General features: G+C 58.0%; 1 protein-coding gene and 1 long non-coding RNA gene across 16 annotated transcripts in view, besides 1 other annotated feature; both read right to left on the bottom strand.

The window, feature by feature from the left end:
* The window catches only part of KCNAB2 (potassium voltage-gated channel subfamily A regulatory beta subunit 2), a 108,505-nt gene continuing 85,882 nt past the window's right edge, over window positions 378–23,000 (bottom strand). For 10 of the 15 annotated variants that reach the window (XM_047432870.1, XM_047432872.1, NM_001199861.2 and 7 more), the window contains 11 exons: window positions 19,284–19,363; window positions 16,310–16,354; window positions 14,047–14,091; window positions 12,507–12,550; window positions 11,083–11,169; window positions 7,073–7,158; window positions 6,115–6,235; window positions 5,934–6,028; window positions 4,802–4,922; window positions 4,201–4,289; window positions 378–3,073 (listed from right to left, as the gene is read on the bottom strand). In XM_047432870.1, the coding sequence (XP_047288826.1) occupies window positions 2,984–3,073; window positions 4,201–4,289; window positions 4,802–4,922; window positions 5,934–6,028; window positions 6,115–6,235; window positions 7,073–7,158; window positions 11,083–11,169; window positions 12,507–12,550; window positions 14,047–14,091; window positions 16,310–16,354; window positions 19,284–19,363 (903 nt within the window). In that variant the 3' untranslated portion in view covers window positions 378–2,983. The other 5 variants (XM_047432866.1, XM_011542321.4, XM_011542322.3 and 2 more) reach the window with 3 other exon arrangements.
* On the bottom strand, window positions 15,187–16,303 carry LOC124903831 (uncharacterized). Its single transcript, XR_007065442.1, has 2 exons — window positions 15,728–16,303; window positions 15,187–15,400 (listed from the first exon to the last, which is right to left on the bottom strand). It is a non-coding gene; the product is annotated as an uncharacterized LOC124903831 (long non-coding RNA).
* Window positions 18,057–18,537: a silencer, noted in NCBI's record as "fragment chr1:6143081-6143561 (GRCh37/hg19 assembly coordinates)". NCBI's record gives its function as "represses an EF-1alpha promoter that drives an FKBP-Casp9 reporter gene in an ReSE screen in K562 erythroleukemia cells {active_cell/tissue: K562}" and the evidence as "EXISTENCE:reporter gene assay evidence [ECO:0000049][PMID:32094911]".

The following is a 23,000-nucleotide window of genomic DNA, read 5'->3' as shown; positions in this document are numbered from 1 at the left end:
CCTGGACCTCTGTCCTTATGAGAACAGCAGCCAGCCAGGTCCCCAGAGGGACAGCAGCCTCCCAGCAAGCAGCTTTGGGCCCTCAGAGTTGGTGAAAGAGAATGTGTGTGTTGGGGGCGGCAGGGGAGGCACGCACCCTCCCTTGGCTGAATCGCTTGGGAGAGATGGGGGACAGGTCTTCTGACCACCCTGTCCCCATTCTCTGTCCCCGCTCTCTCTCCACGGGCCCTTTCCAACCCACCTGCCCTTGGCTGCAGGCTCCGGTTTGGGGGATGCCCCAGGCCCTGCTGCTGGCAGCCTTTTCCTCCCCTCCCGTGTCACCCTGGCCCAGCCCTGACCCTGAGGAAATGAGAGGAGCAAAAAGTCACAGAGACCGATGGGTTTGGGCTTTATTTATTTTGTCATTCCATAAATACGGTGGCTGTGTCGCGGTCTGAGTCTCGTTTGGAAGCTCGAGGCATAGGACAGTCTCTGCCTGGGTAGGGAATGCAGTTAGCTGAGGAACCACGGTAGGTTTAAAAAAAAAGACTCGGGGAGAGAAAAAGCACATTATTTACATGACTGGACAAGGACAGAAGGTGGGAGGAAGCCCCTGTCACTCCTTGGGACCTGGGATCTGAGCACAAAGCTGAGTGGGAAACAGTGGGGGCTCCGAAGCGTCCAGCAGGGCCAGCGCCCTCCTTTCTAGACCCCGACTGCCCTTGGTCTTCTGCCCTTTCTTGGATGGTCCTACCCAATACCTCCTCCCGAGAGGGGGGACCTGGCCCTAGGAGGCAGAGCCCCCTCACATCCTCCCTGTAGATGGGTGTGGAGCAAGCAGGACATCCAGGAACCAGGTCGTGGAAAGAGCTGCGCCAGAGGCTGACTGCATCCTGACACTGGGGCCTGGCCTCTCTGTGTTTGGCAAACCCGCAGCCTTTGGGGGCTCAGCTGCCCCAGGTGTGCCTCGCATTAAGCAGCAGTGCCCACCCTGGGCACCACCTCGCGCTGGTCCCTCTTCCAACAGTGGGTGGGGCTGGGTGGCAGTGGGGATGGGGCCAGCCACCCTCCCTGATGGCGAGGGTGGGCCACCTGCCCTCTGGCACCATTGGCCACTGCAGGACCCTGTCCGGGAAGGAAGCAGGCGACCCCCACCTGGGCCCAGGGCCATAGGCTGGGACCTCCGTTGGGAAGGGACTTCCCCACCCCACACTCACAGGGCTGCTTCTGGTGAAGCAGGCAGCAGGACTGAGTGGAGACCCCCGGGACTTGGTCTATGAGGAGGGGCAAGGGTTCTAGGCGCCAGGGGCAGCATGAAGGGGGGTCGGTAATAGCAGAAGCTGATCCCCCTCCTCCCCTCGCCCCAGCCTCTCCCCGCTGGCCTTTCTGACTTTCACAGTTTCCCAGGCCTTGGCCCGGCCAGGACTGGACAGCAGGCTCCCGCAGGACGGCAGGGTGGAGCCTTCTGGAATAGTGGCTCCTCCAGGGGCAAAGCGGGAACAGAGGTGCCTGCACTGAGGGTGCGCCCTGGGGGCAGGAGACACAGGCTTCCCTATGGAGCTAGCTGGCGAGGGGTGGGGGTGGCTTCAGTGGAGCCCTGCCCCGCGTGGTCTGCAAAGCCTGGGTACTGCTTGGGACACAGGCCTGGGCCTGTAGGTGGCACCCCGCACCTGCAGACTTACTGGCATCCCTTGCCCTCCGGCCCAAGCTGCACGGGGGCGTCACTCTGGCCTGTCCTGCCCTCTCTCCCCTCTGCCCAGCCTGTCCCAGGTGTCAGGCAGTGGGAGGGGCTAACCAGCCCTGCCCGTCTTTCCAGGGAGAGGTTCCCTGAGGTCTTTTCCTACATTGTGGGGGTGCTGTGGGGGTGCAGCCCCCAAGTCATGGGCACAGAAAACCCCAAAGACCCTTCCTTACTGAAAGGGTCCAAGCATGCGCTCCACAAAACCCAAGCCCACCAGCTCGGTGCAGAGCAGCGGCCTGGGCTGGCGGGCGGCTTTAGAGAAAGTCTACAGGGGCCGAGAGGAGTGCATCCTTGTGCACAGGGCCGGCCCCTGCTGCCACTTGCCGTGGTGTGGCCAGCAGCCACCGTGCAGCTAGGAGCACATGACCACAGGGCCTTCCGGGGCCAGGACAGAGGGGTGGCCAGACAGAGGGGCCTGCCCCACTGGGACCCCTCCCAAGCGCTCCGGGCCTCACTGGCATGAGGCTCATCATTGGTGTGTAGGAGGAAGACGGTGGGAGGCTGAGCTAGAAATCACACCGCTACGCTTTTTGTGGCTCCCAAACTGCAGAGTCAATCCCCCTGGGGTCCCTGCCCCTGCCAGCAAGGGTGGGGGTGGGTGGGGGTCAAGGGCCAGCTCGAGCTTGGTAGGCATGGCCCCTGCCGGGACCCAGTGGGGCAGGTTGGAGCAGAAAAGGATGGGAGAGGAATCTGTGGTCAGGCCCCAGATTCCTGGAGCCCTTGGAAAGTGGGAGGTGGAGGAAGACCCCCAGTGGGGAGGCCCTGCCCCAGCAACCAAGGCCCTGGCAGAAGGGGCCCCTCGATGGGCCAGACCCCTTTCCCCTCTCCCCCTACACCAAGTGGGGATTCTCAGCAGAGGAGAGGCTGGCCCTGCCCGCCCCAAGGACCCAACCAGGCCTTGGCCTGGCCTTGACTTTGGGAACCTTGGAAATCTTTGGGCCTTGACTTTGGGAATCTTGGCTGTGGCTGGGAGAAAGCTGGGTGGTCTTGGAGGATGAGCAGAGGTGACAGGCTTGGGTGGGACCGTTTGAACATCCTTCCTAACCAGTGCCTTCCCCGGCACAGACTGGACTTCGACATTGTCCGGCGAAGCAGTGGGTGGTGTCTGGCAGCGACTTGGGAGATCATTTCCCGATGACATCACAGTGTGGTGTTTTCTCTTGGATGCAAACCACACTCTTCACTTGGCTTCAAAACAGCTTAAGCGAGCGAACAGAGACTAGGAGGGAACGGAAACTGTCCGAGCAGGCGGGCGGGGGCGGCTTAGGATCTGTAGTCCTTTTTGCTGTAGGGTTTATTGCCCAAAATACTATCAATCTCGTGGATAATGGAAGATGACAGTTTCGGAAGGACCTGCGTGCAAGAACAACAACAAATCAGAATCCCACCAACAAGACGGGCCTGGCCTGGGGAGGAGGTGGGGCCAGGCTCTTCCAGATGGTCGGCTGGCCAGGCCCGGGTTGCCCCATCACATCTGGGCTCCATCTGAGGCAGATGGAGGCCACGCTGCTTTTGTGTTTCAGAAGGTTTGGGGCAGAGAGGAAGCATGCCTGGGTCTGTGCACTCCCTCTCAAATGTCAAGGTGCCCTAGAACCTTCCTGAAGGGTGGTGGCAGCAGTGACATAAAATGGAAACTCCAGGCCAAATGCTGGACTTCCATGTCCGTGACTGCTTTTTCCAGCTGCGCCTGCCTCAGCATACAGCACCGCCACCCTTCCGGGTGACACACCCGGGGACCGACTTCCACCTCGCCTTCTCACCCCCACATCCAGTTTGTCAGCCAGTCCCGGGGGCCCCACCTTCCCAAACATCCAGGATCCAACCACCACTCCCGTCTCGGACCCGCAGCTGCCACTTCCCACCAGGGCTCTCTGCTTCGACTTTTGCTTCCCAAAGCCTCCCCGATGGAGCAGCCGGAGAGCAGCCTCCCTTTCCAGGCTGAGCTGCAGCTCGCCCTCCTCTGCCCACAATTTTGCCACGGCTCCCGTCTCACTCAGAAGTCCCTGGAGGTGTTTCGTGCCTCTCAGGATCTGCCCCTCTGCTCCAGGCCTTTTTGGGCCTTTGCATCAACTCTTCCTGCTGGTGGAAGGTTCTTCCCGCAGGCATTTGCGTGACTTACTCCGCATCTCTCAAGACTGCTCAAGCACCACCTTCTCAACAAGCCCACCTGACAGGCCCCCTTGAACCTGAGTCTGCAGCGCCACCGTCCCTGGCCCCAGCTCCCTCCCTTTATCTCTGGCTTCTCTCCTACAGCGCTCGTCCACCCTGACACACATTCTAACCTCCTTGTTTCGTGCAGTTAGTGTTCATGTCTGTTCCTGCTGGAAAGCAAGCTCTCCAGGAGCACAACTCTGATGGTTCACGGGCGCATCCTGAGTGCCTAGAACAGAGCCTGGCACGCAGGACGAGCCTGGGAGGATGCACTGGACGGGGCTCGGGCTGGGATGGGCCCTCTGCCCAGCAGGGCCTCTCACTCTTACCTGTATTGCCCCAATGTTCTCCATGAGCTGGTCCGCATTGGAGGCCCCCAGGAGCACGGAGCTGACTCCCTCATTCCTCAGGCACCAGGCTGTGGCGGCGAGACCCAAGGTGAGGGAGAAACACCCACCACAGGGGCCCCTGATGGGTCTGCCTTGCCTCTGACTGGGCCGAGAGACCCAGCATCTTGGTCTGGGGGTCTGAGGGGGTCTAGGAAGCCCTGCAGTGCTGGGCACGGGCTTTGTCTAAGAGGTGGCTGGAGGAGGCATGGGGGAGCCCGCTGCTCCCTGATGGAGAGGTGGCCCAAGTGCTTAGCGCTCCCCATCCTCTTCCCATGAAAGCGGGAGCCCCATTACCTATGGCTGGCAGATGGAGGGGGTGGCCCAGGTCCTCAGGGACTCCTGACATCCCCCTAGAGGCATGGGGTCCCAACCATGCCCCTTAGAGCCCGATTACCCGAGGCTGGCTGGGGGATGATGTCCAGGGATCCCTTCCCTCTCTCCCCGGAGACACTGGCCCCATGGCAACCCCACCCTGTTACCTACGGCCAGCTGGGGCAGGTTCTCCCCAGGGGCACTGGCCCCATGGCGACCCCACCGTTACCTATGGCCAGCTGGGGCAGGGTGCAGCCCAGGCGCTCGGCGATGGCCTGCAGCTCCTTCAGCTTGGCTTGCTGGCGCCGGCCCTCCTCACTGAGGATCTTGTCCTTCAGCCACTGGTAGCCCTGGTTGCGGGGGAGGGGAGCAGCACAGCTACAGATGAGAGCAGGTCACCTGGACCCCCACGTGCAGGGGGCCGATGGGCTCATTCCTTCTGGACCCTTCTCCCTCATAGGGGCTCTTCTCATCTTGAAGCCAGGGCAGTGCCCCTGCCCCAGGCCTCTCAAGTAGGGGAGAGTGGGCAGTGGGCCGGGCACGGGCTGGTGGATGAGCGGGGCCTGTCCAGGCTCTGAAGTGCAAAGACTGTGGTGCTGGCCCAACCCCAAGTCAGGACAAGGAGGCGAGGTGCTGGCCTTCCTTCTCTTAGGAAACTTGGCAGCCTGGGGTCTCGGCTGCCACCCGTGGCCCAGAAGAACCTCCTGGCCCTAGGGGAGTGCTCTCTCCCCTGGCCATCCCCCCCAGAGGATTGCAGGGCCTCCTGGAGGGGGGCCCTGACCTTGCCATGGGATGGGAGGAGTCGGGGGCCAGGCCACGTTGCCCTGGAACCCAGGGCTGTGGGCCCCAGTGCTGAGACTGCTGGCTGGGCAGACTTTCTTGGCCTGCTCCTTGTTCTCCAGATCCTGCAGTCTGGGGACCCTCCTGAGTCCCCACTCAGAGGTTGTGTGGTGGGGAGGGGCGCCTCTCCCAGGGTCACCTCCATGTGGCTTTGCAGCCCCCATCTCGGAGCCCAGGCCCAGGGGTCTCAGAGTTCTGAATGCTGGGCTGTGGTGGGGGGCAGAGGTGGGGGATGTGGTAGGGGGTAGAGATGGGGGGATGTGGTGGGGGCAGGGGGGGGGATGTGAAAGGGCCTCTCCACTTGGGCCTGTGCCACAGGCTGGGCAGCCCCTCTACACATGGGATCAGGCCAGGAGGGGCTCCATGTTCTCACGCCAAGGAGCCCGCCCCCAGCAGACCGAGGTGGGAACAGCTGCAGCTCCCGGAACCCCTGCCCAGCACCAAAGCAGTCGGCCCAAAGGTCCCACCCGTCCAAAATGCCTATCCCCTGCCCGTCCCTCCCCACCAGGCTGTTCCTTCACCTTCAAGGAGGCTCTTGAGTAGGGTGGGATGCCACTGTCGTACTTGCCAGAAACAATGCCACAGGCCAGAGGGGACCAGGTCATGGCGCCCACTCCTGAAGAGGAAAAGCAGGTGGAGTCAAGCCCTGGGCCCGAGAGCAGGGGTGGGGTGGGGCGGGGCGAGGGGCCCGAGGGTGCCCACCTATCTTGTGGAACAGCTCCGGCAGCTGCACCTCCACTTTCTCACGCTGGAACATGTGGTACTCAGCCTGCTCGCAGATGGGCGGGGTCAGGTTGAACTGCCGGGCCACGGAGTAGGCCTCCTGTGAAGGCAGAAAGGGACCCCGAGGGCCCTTGCCTGTGAGCAGGCGGGAGGCTGCCGGGGCAGCCATGGAGAGGGCACCAAGGTGTCCCCGGAGCAGGCTGGCCCAGCAGCTGCAGCCCGGGCTCCCCACTGCTCACACTCATAGCTTCCCTGGGAGCCAGGCAGGCCCTGGTGAGCTGGGAAAAGGAGGTGGGTGGTGGGACCCCCAGGCCGGAGGGTCCAGTTATGAGCAGCCCAGGCTCTGAACCACACAGCCTGGATGTTAATCTTGGCCCAAGCTGTGTGACCTTGGCATGTTACTGAACCTCTCTGTGCCACAGTGTCCACATCTGAAAAATGGGCTGCCTGCGGCACTCACCTGGTAAAGGCACCGGTGAGGATTGCATGTGAGAGGGTCCCTGTGGAACCCTTGACCCTAACAGCACCGGGCACGTCTCAGGAGCCCAGTGGAAACAGCTGACGGTGTTGTCACCCCAGAGTGCTTGCTGAGCTCCAGGGCATCTGCTAAGAGCTTCACACTGGCTCTCTCAGGGACTCCTTAGAATGGCCCCATGGGGGCTCACCTAGCAGATGTGTTCTACAGGTGGGGAAACAAGCTCAGAGACGTTAAGCCATTTGTCCAGGGCCACACAGCGCTGGGATCCATGCAGAATCCCCGTCTGCAAGGCCTACAGACATAACCACCACACTCCACCATCCTGTCCCTCCCTTAGCACCCAGGCATCGGTGCAGTTGGGACCAAAGGCACAGACCCCGCCAGAGCTTTGGGGTCTCCATACGCAGCCGGTGCCGGGAGTCTGTGCCTGGACACACACATGCTGCGCGGCCACCGTACCATGATCTCCATGGAGCTCCAGCGTGACGTGCCCCAGTACATGGCCATCCCCTGGTTGATGACGTGGGTCATGGCGCGGACGGTCTCTGTCGTGAGAGAAAGGGAAACCGCAGGTGGGGGGCAGCCAGGGCTCAGGGCCAGCCTCGGGACATTCTGCAAATACAGGCAGGACGCTGGGAGGAGGGACAGGGGCTGCGAAGATGTCTTGCAAGCAGTGTACTTCCTGGCTCTGAAGTTGGGTGTGGGAGGGGTTTTTTGGGATGAAAGAGAAAAGTGAACCACAATCCTAGAAGTTGGTCGTGAAAACAATTTCCCCGACTGGTTACAGGCCTATGGAAATGTTGAAAAATGGGTTATGGATGGACCGTGATGTTTCTATGGTAGATTAGAGGGGACAATCAAAGAATGTGGCTCTGGACTCTAGAACTGGAGGTTCTCTGGTCTGGGGAAGATTCGAGGGCCCCGATCACTCAGGAAGGACCAGGTGAATGCATGAACGTTACAGTCAGATTGGCGGCAGGAGGGACATGTGTTTTTGCGTTTCTGGTCTCCTACTTCGGGCTATTCCAAAGTCTAATTGGAACAGAGAGTGGGCTGGATAAGGAGATGTGGCAGGACCTGGGGCGCCATATGGTCCCGGAGAATAGGGCTTCGGGGCTGAGCTCATGTTTCCTGTCATGTCCAGGAGACTGAGAAGTGGGCGTGGAAAGCCTTGTAAGACCATGGCCCAGGTTCTCAAACCAGCCCAGCACCAGGCCAGAGTCCCAACCCGCCTGTCCCCTGGCAAGGGGTGGTCCCAGGGCCACAGGGGTCTGGGTGCTCCTCCTGTGAGGGGCCAGGGCCTGGAGTAGGACAGTTTTGAGGCTCCATGAGCCCTGGGAACAACCTGAATCGTGGACGGCGGAGACTCCTAAGGCCCTGAGGATGAAATCGCGGAGACTTCACGCTGGCCTTTTAAAGAAGAGAGGAGGGACCCTCGCCCCAGCGACACAGTGGATTCTTCCCAATATTCAAACATGGCTTTGAGACACAGCAATCTGCTGGTTATAGCTCCCTCTCAGCCTCATGGGGATATTGTGATTTTAAAAACAGAACTTGGCGTCGAAATTTCAAATTTCAGAAGCCTCTGAGCTTTGCAGGGCGAGGGACTATGGCGCTAGGCTTCTCACGGGTCGGATACAGTGCTTGCAAGTTCGACCGCCAAAGGCAGTGTGGGAGTGAGTGGGAGTGCAAGTGTTTCTAAAGACAGCAACAACGTTGACCCTGGAAAAGCCCTGGCTCTCCCTCAGTGCCTGCTTGTCCTTTGCCCATGCTGCGTGGAAGCTGAGGTCCTGAAAATGCTGGGAGTGGGGCTGATGGGAAGGAAGGAAGGATGGAAGATGCTGGGTTTGTTCTGCAGGCTCCCCCCTGGAATGGCAACGAGGCCACAAAGTGGCAGTGCTGGCTTCCCGTCCACTTCTGTTTTGGGGGTCGCTCCCTGAGTGCCCCTTTACTGAGGTCCACCCTGAGCAGAACCTGGGGCCTCCTAAAGGCTAGAGCTGAGGCCACTGGGGTTTCTGGAGTGGTGGTCTCGGCAGACTCACCCAGGACCCCTGGCAAACCACCCTTGGCTTCCACGCTTGCAGGCCCAGCCCTGCTCTCTGCTTACTTCCAAGGTCAGAGGTTGTAGCTCCTGGGAATCCTCTCTGTCCCCTCCTGGGGGTGGAGATCTGGGAGGGAGTCTGAACTCTCTGGGCCACCTCCCTGGGCCACCTGCTTTAACTGCCAACTCCGATAGACCCTCAGGAAGTGCCTGGTTGGGAAAGTTTGAGGAGAACCTAGAGGGTCCCAGGAGAATCTCTGACTACATCCTGCCCAGGTCCGGGCTCCTGGCCTGCCCGGCCTTGTGGTTTTTTAGAAACACTCTCGGGGCACCTGTGAGCATGCAGCATCAGTTCCCGATTCTTCTCAGCCAAGGCTTAGGTCCACATGCCAGACAGAGGGAAGCCAAGGCCCCCAAGGCCAGCCCCGTTCCCTCACTCTCCCTCCCCGGCAGCTGTCTCAGGTCTCCAAGGTCCCAGCCAGTGAAACCGCATGCTGCCCTGCGGCGCCCCTTCCATGCAGTGATGGAGAGACGGGGCTGACGGGGCAGGAGCCTCTGGCTGTCCTGAGGTGGGGAGTCCTAGGCAAAGGCCCCTGGGCTCCCTGGAGGATCTGGGCAGAAGCAGGCTGGACAGGGAGCCCACATGAGGGAGCACCCTGCACTTGTGCCCAAGTGTGATATCAGTGGCCCCAGACCCAGGGACAATTAGGGACAACTGTCCTTCACCTCAATATTTAATGGGGTTGAACGGAAGTAGGAAGACTGAATCCTTCTAGCTGCTGCCAAAACTCACAGCATCTCCTGCCGCATCACAAATAATACATGGGGGTTCAGGTGGCAGCACCAGTTGGCAGACAGGGGCCCAGGCCCAGGGAGATCGACACCTGCCCTTGGGGTGGGGTCCTGGGGCCGTTAGCTGTGGGGAGGGCAGAGAGACTGTGCGTGGCCAGAGGCCACCCCCTGGTTTCAGAAGGCTGCCGGCTCCTGTGGTTATTCTTTCAGGAGGAAAATGATTCCACGTTGATGGAGCGCTTTGGCAACCTGGTGAGAGGGGACACGCAGCCAGCATGCCGTCCGAGGAGCAGCGTGCTGTGGACGGGGCAGCGTGACAAGCCAGGTGATCTCTGCCTCCAGGAGAGACAGGAGCTTAGCAAACATAAACCATGGAGGAGCTAAGACTCGGTGGGGGGCCGCGTGTTTTGGGGTCCCTGATGGCTTTGCTCCTTGTGGAAACCTGGTCTTCCCCAACCCTTCCCATGGCACCATCCAGGGTCAAGGCTCCAGGTGGGGATCACAGCATCCTCAGATCAAGAGGACCCCCGGCCGCCGCGGAGCTCAGCAGTGCAAGCCCAGGGGTGGGGGCCATGCACGGGAGGAAGGAGGAACGAGGGGATGGGGGGCTGGGGGCGAGGGGCTCCAACACCACTTTGCTTTTCCTTCACTTGCAAGGTGTTCTCATAGGGTGCTCTTTCCCCTCTTTATGCATTTTATGGAGAAGTTTCTCATGGGGTAAAAGAATCATGTAAATAAAAATACTGTCTCATAAAATGCAGCTTGGACACAGAAGTCAATAGTCAGGCTGGGGGCACTGTGTACCTTCTATGATGAATGTCCTTGACTTGGAGGAACTAAATGGGTCCCCTGGTGATAGAAGAAAGATTTAAAGAGACCAGAGTTGATAGCTGGGAGCACTGAGAGGCGTGGCACGACGAAGGCACAGCGGGGAGGCACAAATCACCGTGCAGAACACGCGTTTAGTTAAAAAGGAAAAAAATATATCAACACACGCACGTGCGTGCTGTATATGAACAAATAAAAAACAATAACTGGAACACAATTTAACTTTCAAGTCCCTGCAGCAGCAAAGCACACATGGAAAGACGCCTGTAGCAGGAGGATGGGGGAGCGGAGGGGGCTGAGATCGCAGGAGTAGAAAGAATAAAAAACGCCAAAGTAACCAAAACCGATTTTCAAAGCGCTGAACGCTTCTTCTCCTCTATGTAGTAATTTATCCCCCAGAGCAAAAAAGTCCCCCCAAGCTTCCCAATGGATGGTGATTGGAGAGAACACCGCAGTTGGAGTCCCCACACTGCGACTTCACTTAGCTGCAAAATAGCAGCCGCAGAGGGGAGGGGACAGTTCCACTGCGGCTCTGACTCGGAGGGCGGATCGGCCTGGGTCCAAAGCCAGGACAGGGACTCAGCCTGGAGGTGCCAGGTGCACCTGGCGAGGGGTCTGCAGCCAGAGGCTGAGTTCACCCCCTACTGAGGGGAGGCCTGCCCCCTCGCCCCCCACCCTGGACCCGGCCTCCTCTCACGGCTCACCCGGGTGCCCAGCAGGGCCCATGCTGGCGGCCTCTACAACCCCAGGTTCAGACCCTTCAGACCCCGCCCAGGCCTAACCGGTGGCGCCGCCGCAGACCACCTACCTTCCATCGGGGTGTTGGGGTCCGGGCGGTTGGCAAACACCACATCCACGTACTCCAGCTGCAGTCGCTCCAGGGAAGCTTTCAGACCTGGGGGAGGACCAGGTGGGGGGGCGTCACTGCTGTGGCTCCATCTCCACAGGCACCTGGGCCCATCCATGCCCGGCTCAGGGAACAAGAGATGGAGAAGAGGCCTCTGGCATCTGGAAGCTTCCAGAAGCTGATGGAGGTCGTGAAATGCCACGGCAGAGGTGGGGGCACATCCCACAGGGAGTGGGGGGATCTTCCCTTCAGGAGGACATCGGGGGACCACAGGCCACGTGTCCTTGACTAAATGAAGGGGAAGCCCCTCCTCCCTCAGACAATATACCCTCCTCTGAGGCCACTGTGTATTACAACAGGGAGATGACTTTATCTATCACATGTGGAGGGAGGGCTACACCTGCTGCCCGTCCCATCAAAGGCAATAGTGTCTATGGTCGGGCGTGGTGGCCCATGCCTGTAATCCCAGCACTCTGGGGGGCCAAGGCGGGCGCATCACTTGAGGGCCAGGAGTTTGAGACCAGCCTGGCCAACATAGTGAAACCCTGTGTCTACTAAAAATACAAAAAAAATTAACCAGATGTGGTGGTGGGCACCTGTAATCCCAGCTACTCAGGAGGCTGAGGCAGGAGAATTGCTTGAACCCAGGAGGTGGGGGTTGCAGTGAGCCAAGATCGTGCCGCTGCACTCCAGCCTGGGCAACAAGAGCAAAACTCCATCTCAAAAACAAAAACAATGGCAATAGTGTCTAAAACGCCCAAGCCACCCGCTGGTGCTTAGAGCAGCTCAGGACACACAGCCGGCAGAGTGAAACGCTGGGTTGGGGTGGGGAGGATGGGAGTGGGTGGCTTGCCCCGCCAGGTGATTTTCAATGGAATGATCTATTACCTCGAAGAAAATGAACACGGACAGGAAAGGCATGAAGACAATAAAGATACAGCAAGAGCCAGACACCCCGGTGCCTTGCTCCGGTGCCTGCGAGTGCTGAGCCCCGGGCTGTGTGGCACCTTCTCCTGGGCGCTGCAGGCATCCCAGCCACCCTCGCCGGGTGCGCTCTTACTGTCCCTATTGCACAGATACTGTGGCAGAGGCATGGGGCAGGGTGCCCCTGCTGAAGACCCACTCAGCCAGTGTGGGGCCAAACCTGGATTGAAACCCAGGCTGGTCTGTGGTCTGTGCTCAGCCACCGGGCTGCCCTCGTTCTCTGCAGCGTCCCGCTGTGCTACCTGGGTGGAAGGAGAAGGTCAGGCCAGAGCACCGGGTGCCCCGGGATTGGGCCCTCAGTGGGTTAACTGGGGGGGTCGGGCCCTGTGCTGCCATCACTTTGGCCTCCGAGGATGATCCCACAGGTATGGGGGCCCTGAGGTGCCCGAGCGCGTCCTCACCTTCGATTATGTGCTTCCTGGACAGGCCCCGCTCCGTCTCCGCCCTGGAAAACAGGCCGACCGCGTGTGATGTCACCAGCGGTTTTGGCACCCTGGCCCCTCCCAAAAAACGTTTACGATGCAATGTTAGACGCAAAAACAGGGTCAGCAAATGCCGTGTGGAGTCGGATTCCACTTTGGGGGTAGGGACCCGAGGCTACAGGGCTGAACTCCCAGAGGCCCAGGGAGAGGCCTGGTCACAGGGCTCAGAGGGGAGGGGGGCAGCAGCAGGGGGTGGGGGGCTTTGATTTTCAACCTAACCCGTCTGTTTGATTTGGACTTATTATTATTATTATTATTATTATTATTTTTTAAATTAAGAACACATCAGGCTGGGCACAGTGGCTCACGCCTGTAATCCCAGCACTTTGGGAGGCTAAGGCAGGAGGATCACTTGAGCCCAGGAGTTCAAGACCAGCCTGGGCAACATAGTGAGACCCCATATCTTAAAAAAGGACAAATTAATGCCAGGCGTGGTGGCTCACGCCTGCAATCCTAGTGCTTTGGGAAGCTGAGGTGGGCAGATTACTTGAACTCAGGAGTTTGAGACCAGGCTGGACAACATGATGAAACCCCATCTCTACAAAATACAAAAATAAAAATATAAATAAAAATAAAAAAATTAGCTGGGCATGGTGGCATGTGCCTGTAGAACCAGCTACTTGAGGCAGGAAGGTCACTTGAACCCAGGAGGTTGAGGCTGCAGTGAGCTGGGACTACGCCACTGTACTCCAGCCTGGGTGACAAAGTGAGACCCTGTCTCAAAAAAAAAAAAAAAAAGAGAGAGAGAGAAAAAGGACAAATTAGTCAGGCATGGTGGCTCATCCCTGTAGGCTGAGGTGGGAGGCTCGCTCGAGCCCAGGAGTTTGAAGCTACAGTGAGCTGTGATTGTGGCACTGCGCTCCAACCTGGATTACAAAGCGAGACCCTGTCTCAAAAAAATAAAAAATAAAAACAAAATAAAAATAAAAAAAAGAATGAATGAATGAATCGTAGTTATAATTCCTATGAGCCCAAGTGTGTCCAGCCCAGAAACTATGGAGCTAGACACTTGGAGACCTGCAGGGGTGACAGGCGGCCCAGGGAATTTGGAGTGCTTTGGGGGTTTGGGCAGTTCACAAATTTTCTGTTTTCTCTATAATTTTTATGATGTTACCATAGTGACCAGGAAAAAATAATCCATGTGAGTAAAAAGGAAAGTTAAGCGAGGTTTTTGTAAAAGGCAAACTCGGCCACAGCTTCTTTTCTGGATTTGACGTCCCTTAACAGGGACAGGCACCAGGCATAGCTGATGGCTGCAGAAACACCAGCTCTGCCCCTGCTGGGGACAGGAAATGGCACTGGGCCGGGGCCTGTCCAGGACAGACCCCGACCACTCTCCCTTCTCAAGGAGGACTGTCCTCCCGCCACCCCAGGAGCCTTCTAGGTCAGGGGTCTCTGGGGAGCACGGGGCCGTGGCTGCTGGGCCGGGGCTGGAAGCATCGCCAGCTGTTGCACCTACTTTCCGCCCCAGAAGATCTTGGTGGTGATGACGAGGCTGGACCGCCTGTGGAACAGAAGAGAAAGAAGGGGTGTGATAAGCCCGGCCCCTGGGGGGTCCTCCTTCATCCCCGACGTCCTCATCTCTCACACAGAGGTCCTGAAAGCCCTCCCACCCAGGAGCCTGGGGCATGAAATGGGCACTTCTCCATCATATGATGTGTACCACGTGCCCAGCCGGGGTGCGTGGGCTCCTCATGGAGCCAGGAGGCAGCCACCGAGGCAGTAACTGTGAGTCAGGCAGTGGGAGTTGGACAGTGGGGGGCCTAGTGTGACCGGAGTCCGGAGGAGATGCCTTCCGCCCAGGATGTGGGAGGGGGGCCTGGCTCAGGGACTATGAGGGGTGCATGGATTTGATCCAGGTAGAGGAAGTGGCAAGAGCCAAGGCTGGAGGAGGCCGGGTGTGGGCCAGGGGGCAGGGGCGGGCTCTGGGGGGATCTGGCAGGAGTTGAGGATGGAAAGATGTAGGTGGGAGGCAGGCAGGGAAGCTCTCTGCAACGTTCCCTACAGAATGTGACACGTGTTGCAGAAAATCTGTGTGGGACGGCCTGGTCGGGGTAACTTGAGGGGCACCAAGGGAGGGAGGGGAGGCATAAGGACGGCCTGGTCGGGGTAACTTGGGGGGCACCAAAGGAGGGAGGGGAGGCATAGGGAGCCCAAGTGTGGCCAGGCCAGTGGGGTTCTGGGTTTGAGTAGCTGAGGCAGAGAATTCTGAGGATTTGGGCTTGAGCAGCGCAAAGGGAAGTAATTCGTTCTTCTGCTCTAAGTCCACACGAGACAAATGCCCATACCAGTGGCTTTGTCCTGGTGGGATGGGGGATAATGATGGCCCCTCCCAGCCACGTTTGACCTTGACCCCTCCCAGAGGAGGGAGTACTTCCCACCCAGGGGGTGACAATGACCTCCTGGTGCCCCATGGCTGAGCTTCTTTCCCACCCGGGTCCCGGGCTGCTCAGGGAAGCAGCTCACGAGGCTGGAGTAGGAGGCCTCCTCTGCCCCGAAGCATCGGCCACAGAGCTCTGGCAGAGGCAGCGTCACCTCCAGGAAGGGGGATCACCCCACACCACCTCCATGCACATTCGCCAAAGACGTGATCAGGGGATTTGCTAATACGTGCAATTTCGTTTAATTACAGGGTGAGGAGGAATTTGTTTTGGGATCAGAGTTGCCAAAAAACAAATTTGATGGGACAAGAGGAAGGGGTGTCAGGAATCCATGGGGGAGGGGGCGGGGGCTCCCCTTGGCACTGGGATTCTGAGTGGCATTTCGAGGGGAGGGAGGAGGGAGGCCCAACTTTATAACTGCTTCTGATGTTTCTGAAAATAAAGACGCATTTATTAAGGAACAGGGCCCCGGGGCTTGTCAGCACCTTGAGATAAAGCTGTGTCCAGGGGTCTGGGGAGCCTCAAAATGTAGGCAAGTGCTCAGCCCAGTTGGTCCCAAGGTGGGTGAGGACCTTGGCCTGGGAAGGGCCCATAGGCTCCTGGGAGAGAAGGGTGGATGGCCCCCGATCTGCGACCTTTGGGCTCCATCACACCCGGGGACCGCTCCCCGGTCTGTGCTGGAGGGGACCACTTCCCAGAGGAGTGTGACACGTCCCGCCCTGAGCTGGGTGGGTGATTTACAGACTTGGGGCCACTGACCCTCAGGATAGCCCTGCCGGAACGGTCCCACACACACCCTCTTACAGATGGGAACAGTGAGCTCCGGAGAGGCTGAGACGCCGCGAAGATCCTGTGGACAAGGTGCAGGGTGGGATCCAACCCCAGGCCCCCAAGCTCTCTGAGCCACTCCCTTCTCTGGCCCCCTGGCTCCCCTGACCCTAAGTGCTCCAGCCAAAGAAGTGGAAGTGCTTTGCACCCACATCTTCTGTAGCAGCACGCCTTTGCTGTACCCAGGCCCGTTCTCACGCCAAGCTCTTTTTGGCCTGACACTTTGCAAGCAGGGACCCTGGTGCTCTGGGTCTCTGTGGATGAGTTGGGACAGAGGCGGAGTGGGCAGGCTAGGGTGGGGGTGGACAGTGTATTCGGCCTCCCTTCAACTTCTTTCTCAAGCAGAGTCACCTCCTACTCTTGGAGAACTGAATTTTCCTCTCCACTTCCCAGCAAGAAAGATGTGGGGACTTGCGGGCCTTACGACACTGCACGACAGGCCGACGAGGCTGACCCTGGGATAGTTCGCCCGCACCCACCCCAGGGACAGGCCGCAGAGAGCAGGGCCGTTACCTCCATCCTTTCTTCTTAATGATGTTTCCCAGTACCACTTCAGCCCTGCAAAACAAGACACCGAGCTCTCATCACAGCCAAACAGAAAAATCAAACCCAGACCCACTGTGGCCACTGGCCACTTGGTTCCCTCTGTGAAAATGTCACTGGGGCCAGAGAGCCAGGCTGTTAACACCCGCCTTGGCTCAGTAGCTCATTCCACAGACAGGGTTGGCCCGAGGGAGTGGGAGCAGCTGTGTTATTGCCCCCCACTAGGATGGCTGTGGCATGTTCCCCTGCAGACACGTGTCTAAGCAGTGGCGGCCCCAGCTCTCACACAGAAGGAAGGAGCTGCTGTCGAGCATCCCATTTCCTAGTCAGCTGAAAATTCACCAGGGAAAATGCCTGGCAACATTAGGTGGGCAAAATTTCCAGAGAAGTATCTTGTTTTTTTTTTTTTGAAATGGAGTCTCGCTCTATCAATGGAATGTAGTGGCGAGATCTCGGCTCTCTGCAACCTCTGCCTCCTGGGTTCAAGCAGTTCTCCTGCCTCAGCCTCCCAAGTAGCTGGGACTACAGGCACCTGCCACCACGCCCGGCTAATTTTTGTATTTTTAGTAGAGACGGGGTTTCACTATGTTGGCCAGGCTGGTCTCGAACTCCTCATCTCGAGTGATCCGCCCACTGTGGCCTCCCAAAGTGCTGGGATTCCAGGCGTGAGCCACCGCGCCGGGACAAGTATCTTTTTTCAAAGGTAAATTATTCATCAAGTCACGCTCTGTTTTGAGAGACAATCAACATGTACTCAGGGTCAAGGGCTGGATTTCCAGCAGATCTGTGCATGCTTGTGTATATGTGTGTGTATACATGTGTGCATGTGTGTGGGTGCACGTGTCCCTCTCATTTCCTGCACTGAACGGCAGAGTCAGATGCTAGGCGGACCACTGTCTGTCCTGTTTGGCATCACTGGGTCCTGCACCAAACCCAGGCCAGCTGGGGGCATGGGCGGCCGTCCCAGCCTTGCCTGGCACTGCAGCACTGGATTAACTTTGAAGAACTTTCTGCTTGTAGCAAAATGTTTCTGAGCAAAACAACAGACGGAGAATGATCCATACTCTGTGCTACATTCCAATTATAAAAGCGCCTGAGTCATCCACTCAGAAATAATGGGCTCTGATTTGCAAGCTGTTTAGCATGCGCTCTGAATGCTCCTCATTTATGGTCAAGACACACAGAAAATTCACTCAGCCCTAGGCCTCTTCCTTTTATTCCTTGGTCCCTGATTTGGGGATCAGGAAAGGAGGAGGAAGAGAGAAAAGCTAGCAGCGATCTCTGGGGCAGAGGAGCAGCAGACAGTGAGTTATCTAAGCCTGTGGCTTGTGGCTCTGGCTGTGATTTGGTAGGACTCACATCTGTTCGCGGGACACAGAAATCCTGCAGCTCTCTGAGAAGCGTGCAAATTAGTGTCAGCAGGAGAAGCAAGGGGCCTCGGGAAGATACGGGTTTGGCCCCCTGCAAGCTGCCTCTCAGCCTCCCCCAAACTCCCCAAAGCAGTTTCTCCCTGCCTATCCCCGGCACGCAGCGCCCAGCTCCCCTGTGAGGGCACTGATGGGCGTCCACCGGGGGCTCAGCTCTGAGCTGGACAGAGGGACCGCAGTGGCCGGCCCAGGAGCAGAGGGCAGGGGATTCCACAGAAACGGCGACCTGAGGGGAAGCTGCTCCCTGACTCCCCGGTCTTCTGGCAAGCGGCTTCCGAGAGGCCCGAGGCTGCCGGAGACCCAGGGAACTTGCCCAGCTCACCAGCTCTGGGTGTCCAGTTAAACAGGGGAACATGGAAACTGCGAGTGACAGAGGACGGAGTGTGGCTGCTGTGACATGGGGTGTGCCCGGCCTCATCCACGGAGGCTGCACGGAGCTGCCTCCCACACATTCTTCAGGGCAGCATAACCCAGGCCAAAGCAGGCAGCGAAGAGGTGGGGGGCTCGGGACGGGAGGTGCCTCTCGGCTTGGCATCTGCACTGGGCTTTTTGACCTCAGACCCCTCCGCTGGGCTCATCTGTCTGGAAAGCAGTTCACTTTGATGGGAAGCTGCTGCCAGTATGGAGGGAGTGGGAGGGGGCTGTGCCATCCGGAGGGCCAAAAGGGCTGCAGATGGGGGCTGGAGGCGGTTTGAGGGTCCCAGCGGCAGCCCCCAGGGCTGTGCGCTCCCCAGGCTCTGGGTGGGAACTTGAGCAGGGCCCAGTTGGGTTCCCTGCCGCCGGGTGCTCTGGGCCCCGCTGCAGTTGCAGGTAACCACCCAGGGCCCACGAAGCAGCTGCGGGCCAAGCAGCTATGGTGCACAGCAGCCCAGGCCTGCAGCCTGCCCGGCTGACGGGAACTTGGCTGGCCCCAGGCAGGAGGGGGGCAGAAGGAGGATGAAGAGAGGGCCAACAAATGATTTCACAAACAAAAGCTGACTTCTGGAAACCCGATGCAGGAGAGTGGATGATTTGATTACAGCCAGTCTTTAAAATTGAAGCCAACAGCCTGGCTGAAGAAGGCTGAGCTTTTACATAATTGAGCAGGAAAGTTCACCGCCAAGATGGGAAGTGCTCCCCACAGCACTTGGCCGGAGCCTGCCCTCCCCAGCTCTGAGGCCCTGCAGCCCTAGTTGCACAAGTGAGACATGAAATGTCAAAATGTCAGGCACATCAGGAGAGCCCAGGACAGCAGCTCCATCGCGCCTCTCACCCAGCACAGCATCTTTGGCACCAGAGGGACTGTGGTCCCCCTGGTGGCTCCACGGGGAGTTCAGCAAGTGATCAGTGTCCAAGTGTTCTGCAATTCCAGCCCCATGAAAATAGCACCTCCTAAAGCCATTCAGAGTTTAAAAATGAAAGCAGGGTGCAAGGTGCATTTGTGAGCACTCTTGGGAACGCGAGCGGCAGGAATCCCTGTAGCTCCGGCTCTGCCCAGGCATTCTGAACCACTTTTTCCCGTGTGAAAAGACACGTACTTGCCGGCTGCGTAGACTTCTGCTGTATCGAAGAGGTTGATGCCATTATCATAGGCCAAGGTCATGAGCTGCTCTGCCATCTGAAACGAGAAAACCGACACTGTCCTGCCAGCCGGGGGTGGGGCCCAGAGGCTCTGGAGCACCACCCTCTCGGCCTGGGAGGCCTCCCCGTGTCCAGGCCCTGCCCTCCCGGGCCCGACAGGCTCCCCTGTGGGCTGTCTCCTTGCCCTCTCCTGCCACAGGACAGGGATGGAGGCAGCTCTCAGTAACAAACCCATTGAGAAGAATAAAGAAGGCAAAAGGAATGAAGAAACTGCCAAGGACTGTGAATTTCTTGAGAGCAGGGACCCCATCAGTTGGGGTCATCACAGGGCTTAGCACCTGTACTGGGTCGAACAGTATCCCCACAGAATTCATGTCTACTTAGAAGCTTAGAGGTGACCTCATTTGGGAATAGGGCCTTCTTCAATGTAATTAGCGAAGATGAGGTCGTACTGTGTTAGGGTGGGTCCTACACCCTATGTGACTGGTGATTTACAAGGAGAGAAAATGCAGACACAGAAGTCCATGAGACTACGAAGGCAGAGACCAGAGTGACACGTCTACAAGCCAAGGACTGTTGGCAACCCCCAGGAGCTGAAAGAGGCATGGGGCGGACCCTCCCCCGAGCCTTTACAGGGAACCTTGCCCTGCCAACACCTTGGTATCAGACCTCTGGCCTCCAGAAGGTGACAGAACGGTGTCTGTTGTTTCAGGCCCCCAGGTTATGTTACTTTGTTACAGCAGTCCTAGGAAACCAAGGCAGTCCCCAGCAGGGGCTCTGTGGATGTTGCTGGGATGAGTCTATGTCCTTAAAGCCAGGGCGGTGTATTCAGTTGTACCTCATTGAATCTTTCCCAGCACCTGCACATGAGGACTGAATTGTTATTTTTGTAGATGGAGCAACTGACATCCCACAGCTGGTGCATGGTGGGTGACATCCATTCTGGCCTCTTGTCCAGTGTTTCTCCAACGGCACATACTCCCGGCCCTGAGCGGCACTGCTGTGGTGGTGGCTGCCTCATGGGCAAGATGGATGAATGACTGCCCGAGCTAAATGCGCTGTGCATCAGACTTTGCTCCATGGCTGCTGTCAGGACGCGATTGTGCTCCATGAGCAAAGAACTGGTCGTGGGGTGGGACTCATGGAGCGAGGGGAGCCCCTCTGCAAGTGACAGCTCCCTCCAAGAGGCCGGAGAGAAAGGTGCCCCTGAGCTTCTGGCTCTCGGACAGGGCTGCTTCCCTCTGAGTGTCACGCTTCCCCAGGTGCGGCTCAGAGCACTGGGCCTCACCAGCAACAAGCCCAGCGTGGGGTGAATAATTCTTAATAACCCTCAAAAACCATAGGACAGAAAACCAGCCAGGGGTGGCTTCACAGGGCTGCGTCTCTCCTTTCTGAACTCAGAAGCCCTTGTGGCCAGGAGGTATGGAGAGTGAGGACGGAGTAGCCACCACTGGGGGGCACCCATGGGAGAAGGCCCATGCCCAAATGCTGCACGTGGGAAGGCGGACCTGGTGCTAGAGATCTGCCAACCTCTCAAGAGAAGCCAGAAAGGCAGCATGTTTGTGGGTGGGGGGTGTATGGAAATCTGGCCGGCAGCCTGGCGACACTGGCACTCATCCCCAAACATCTCAGACACTGAAATACAGCACAGCTGAAGCTGAGCCCCGGTTAGTGAGCGGCTGTGATTTGAGTCAGGAAGCCCGGGGGTGGAGGCCGTCGGTTTTCAGGATCCACCTGCCGGGGCTCTGTTGTTGTCTTCCTGCTGCAGCTCAACTGCCCTGAGGTATCAAATGCATCCATGCATCAAATGCATCCGCCGCCCGAGGGACCTGCTGCTGCCCCCCCAGCCTCCTCCTCCCGGATGTGCCCACCCAGGGAGAGCCCAGGAATCTCTCCCCACCTCTAGCACTTTCCTTCCCAGCACCAGGGCTCCAGCACGGACAGACGGGTGGCTTGTTCACCTGCTCACTGCTTCCTCCTCGTCTTCCTCCTGACTTTTCCCAGATGCCTCCCACATCCAGGCCCAGGAGGAGAGAGCCCAGGAGGGCACGGTGCGCTGGGCCCCGAAGGGGCTAAGTCTGTGGTTAGGGCACTCACGCTCCTGGCAGGGCTTCTCAGAGGAGGGGACCCAGGGCTCCGTTTTCTGTTTTTATATTTCAGACACATGTATTTTCTTATCCCCCATCTTTCTTCCAGGAGGGGTGGCACACTACCCATATGTTTCTGCACTTTGATTTTTTCACTCACAATACATCCTAAAAACCAATCCACACCTGCTCATGAAGATCCCTTTCATTCTTTTTGTTTAATTAAAACATTACTGCATTTATCAAAGAGACTTTAAGTTGTGGTAAAATATATATGATGAAATTTACTATTTTAACCTTTTTCAAGCATAGTTCAATGGCAGTAAGTACATTCGCATAGTTGTGTAACCATCACCACCATCCATCTCCCTGTCATATTCCTAAACTGAAACTGTACCCATTGAACAGTAACTCCCCTTCCCCGCTCCCTGCCTCCAGCCCCAGCACCCATCATTCTCTGGTATTTATGAATTTAACTACTCTAGGCACCTTAGACAAATGCAGTCACACCGTGTGTCCTTTTTGTGGCTTGTTTCAGTGAGTGTAATGTCCTCAAGGTTCAAGGTTCATCCAAGGGGTATCACATGTCCAGAATATCCAAGACTGGGGTTATTTTTTTTTTTTGGGAGATGGAGTCTCATTCTGTTGCCCAGGCGGGAGTGCAGTGGCACAATCTTGGCTCGCTGCAACCTTTGCCTCCTGGCTTCAGGAGATTCTCCTGCTTCAGTCTCCTGAGTAGCTGGACTACAGGTGCATGCCACCAAGCCCAGCTGATTTTTCTATTTTTAGTAGAGATGAGGTTTCACCATGTTGGCCAGGCTGGTCTCGAACTCCTGACCTCAAGTGATCTGCCCGCCTCAGCCTCCCAAAGTGCGGCCGACAAAGACTGGGTTTTGAAGGGTGTTTAGGAGTTTGTCAGGCAGGCAAGGAGAGAGTGGGTGGGGGAGGGGCACTCTAGGCCCTGGGGCTGGTGTGGGCCAGGGAGGGCAGCCTGCGGCAGCATCAGCTCCCGGGAGGTCTCGCTCACCTGTGCTCCGGTCAAACCCTGGGGAGCCCTCCTTGACTAATCCTCCCATCACTGGAGCCTGAAGTTCAGCCCCTGCCGCGGCTTCCCCTGCAAATTAGTCCAGAATCTGACCCGTCTCCCCACCTCCACGGTGCCCACCCTGCTCTGAGCCTCCAGCGGCTCTTGGGTGGTTTCTCACAATAGCCTCCTAGCTCTCTGCTTCCATCCTCTCTCCCTGCACCTTCCCCAGGCAAAGCGTGGTCCATGGGCCAGCATCAGCATGAGATCAGAAATGCGGCCTCCCAGGCTCCACGACAGCCCTGCCACATCAGGATGTGCCTTCCGAGTACATGGGATCGTGCACACGCTGAACTCTGGGACATCCTCATGACTCGCCATTCCCAGTGCAGCAGCCAGGGCGAGCCTTGGCAGACCTTTTAAATCAGGTCAAATTTCCTCCATGCAAAAGCCCTCCAGGGGCTTCCATCTCGCAGAGGGTCAAAGCCAAAGTCTCCACCAGATCTGCACCCTGACCCCCAGCTCTATCCCCTGCATCCCCTTCTCCCCAACACTCGGCCTTA

This window comes from Homo sapiens, chromosome 1, assembly GCF_000001405.40.
Source record: "Homo sapiens chromosome 1, GRCh38.p14 Primary Assembly".
Lineage (NCBI taxonomy): Eukaryota > Metazoa > Chordata > Mammalia > Primates > Hominidae > Homo > Homo sapiens.
This window is presented reverse-complemented; position numbering and strand designations above follow the sequence as displayed.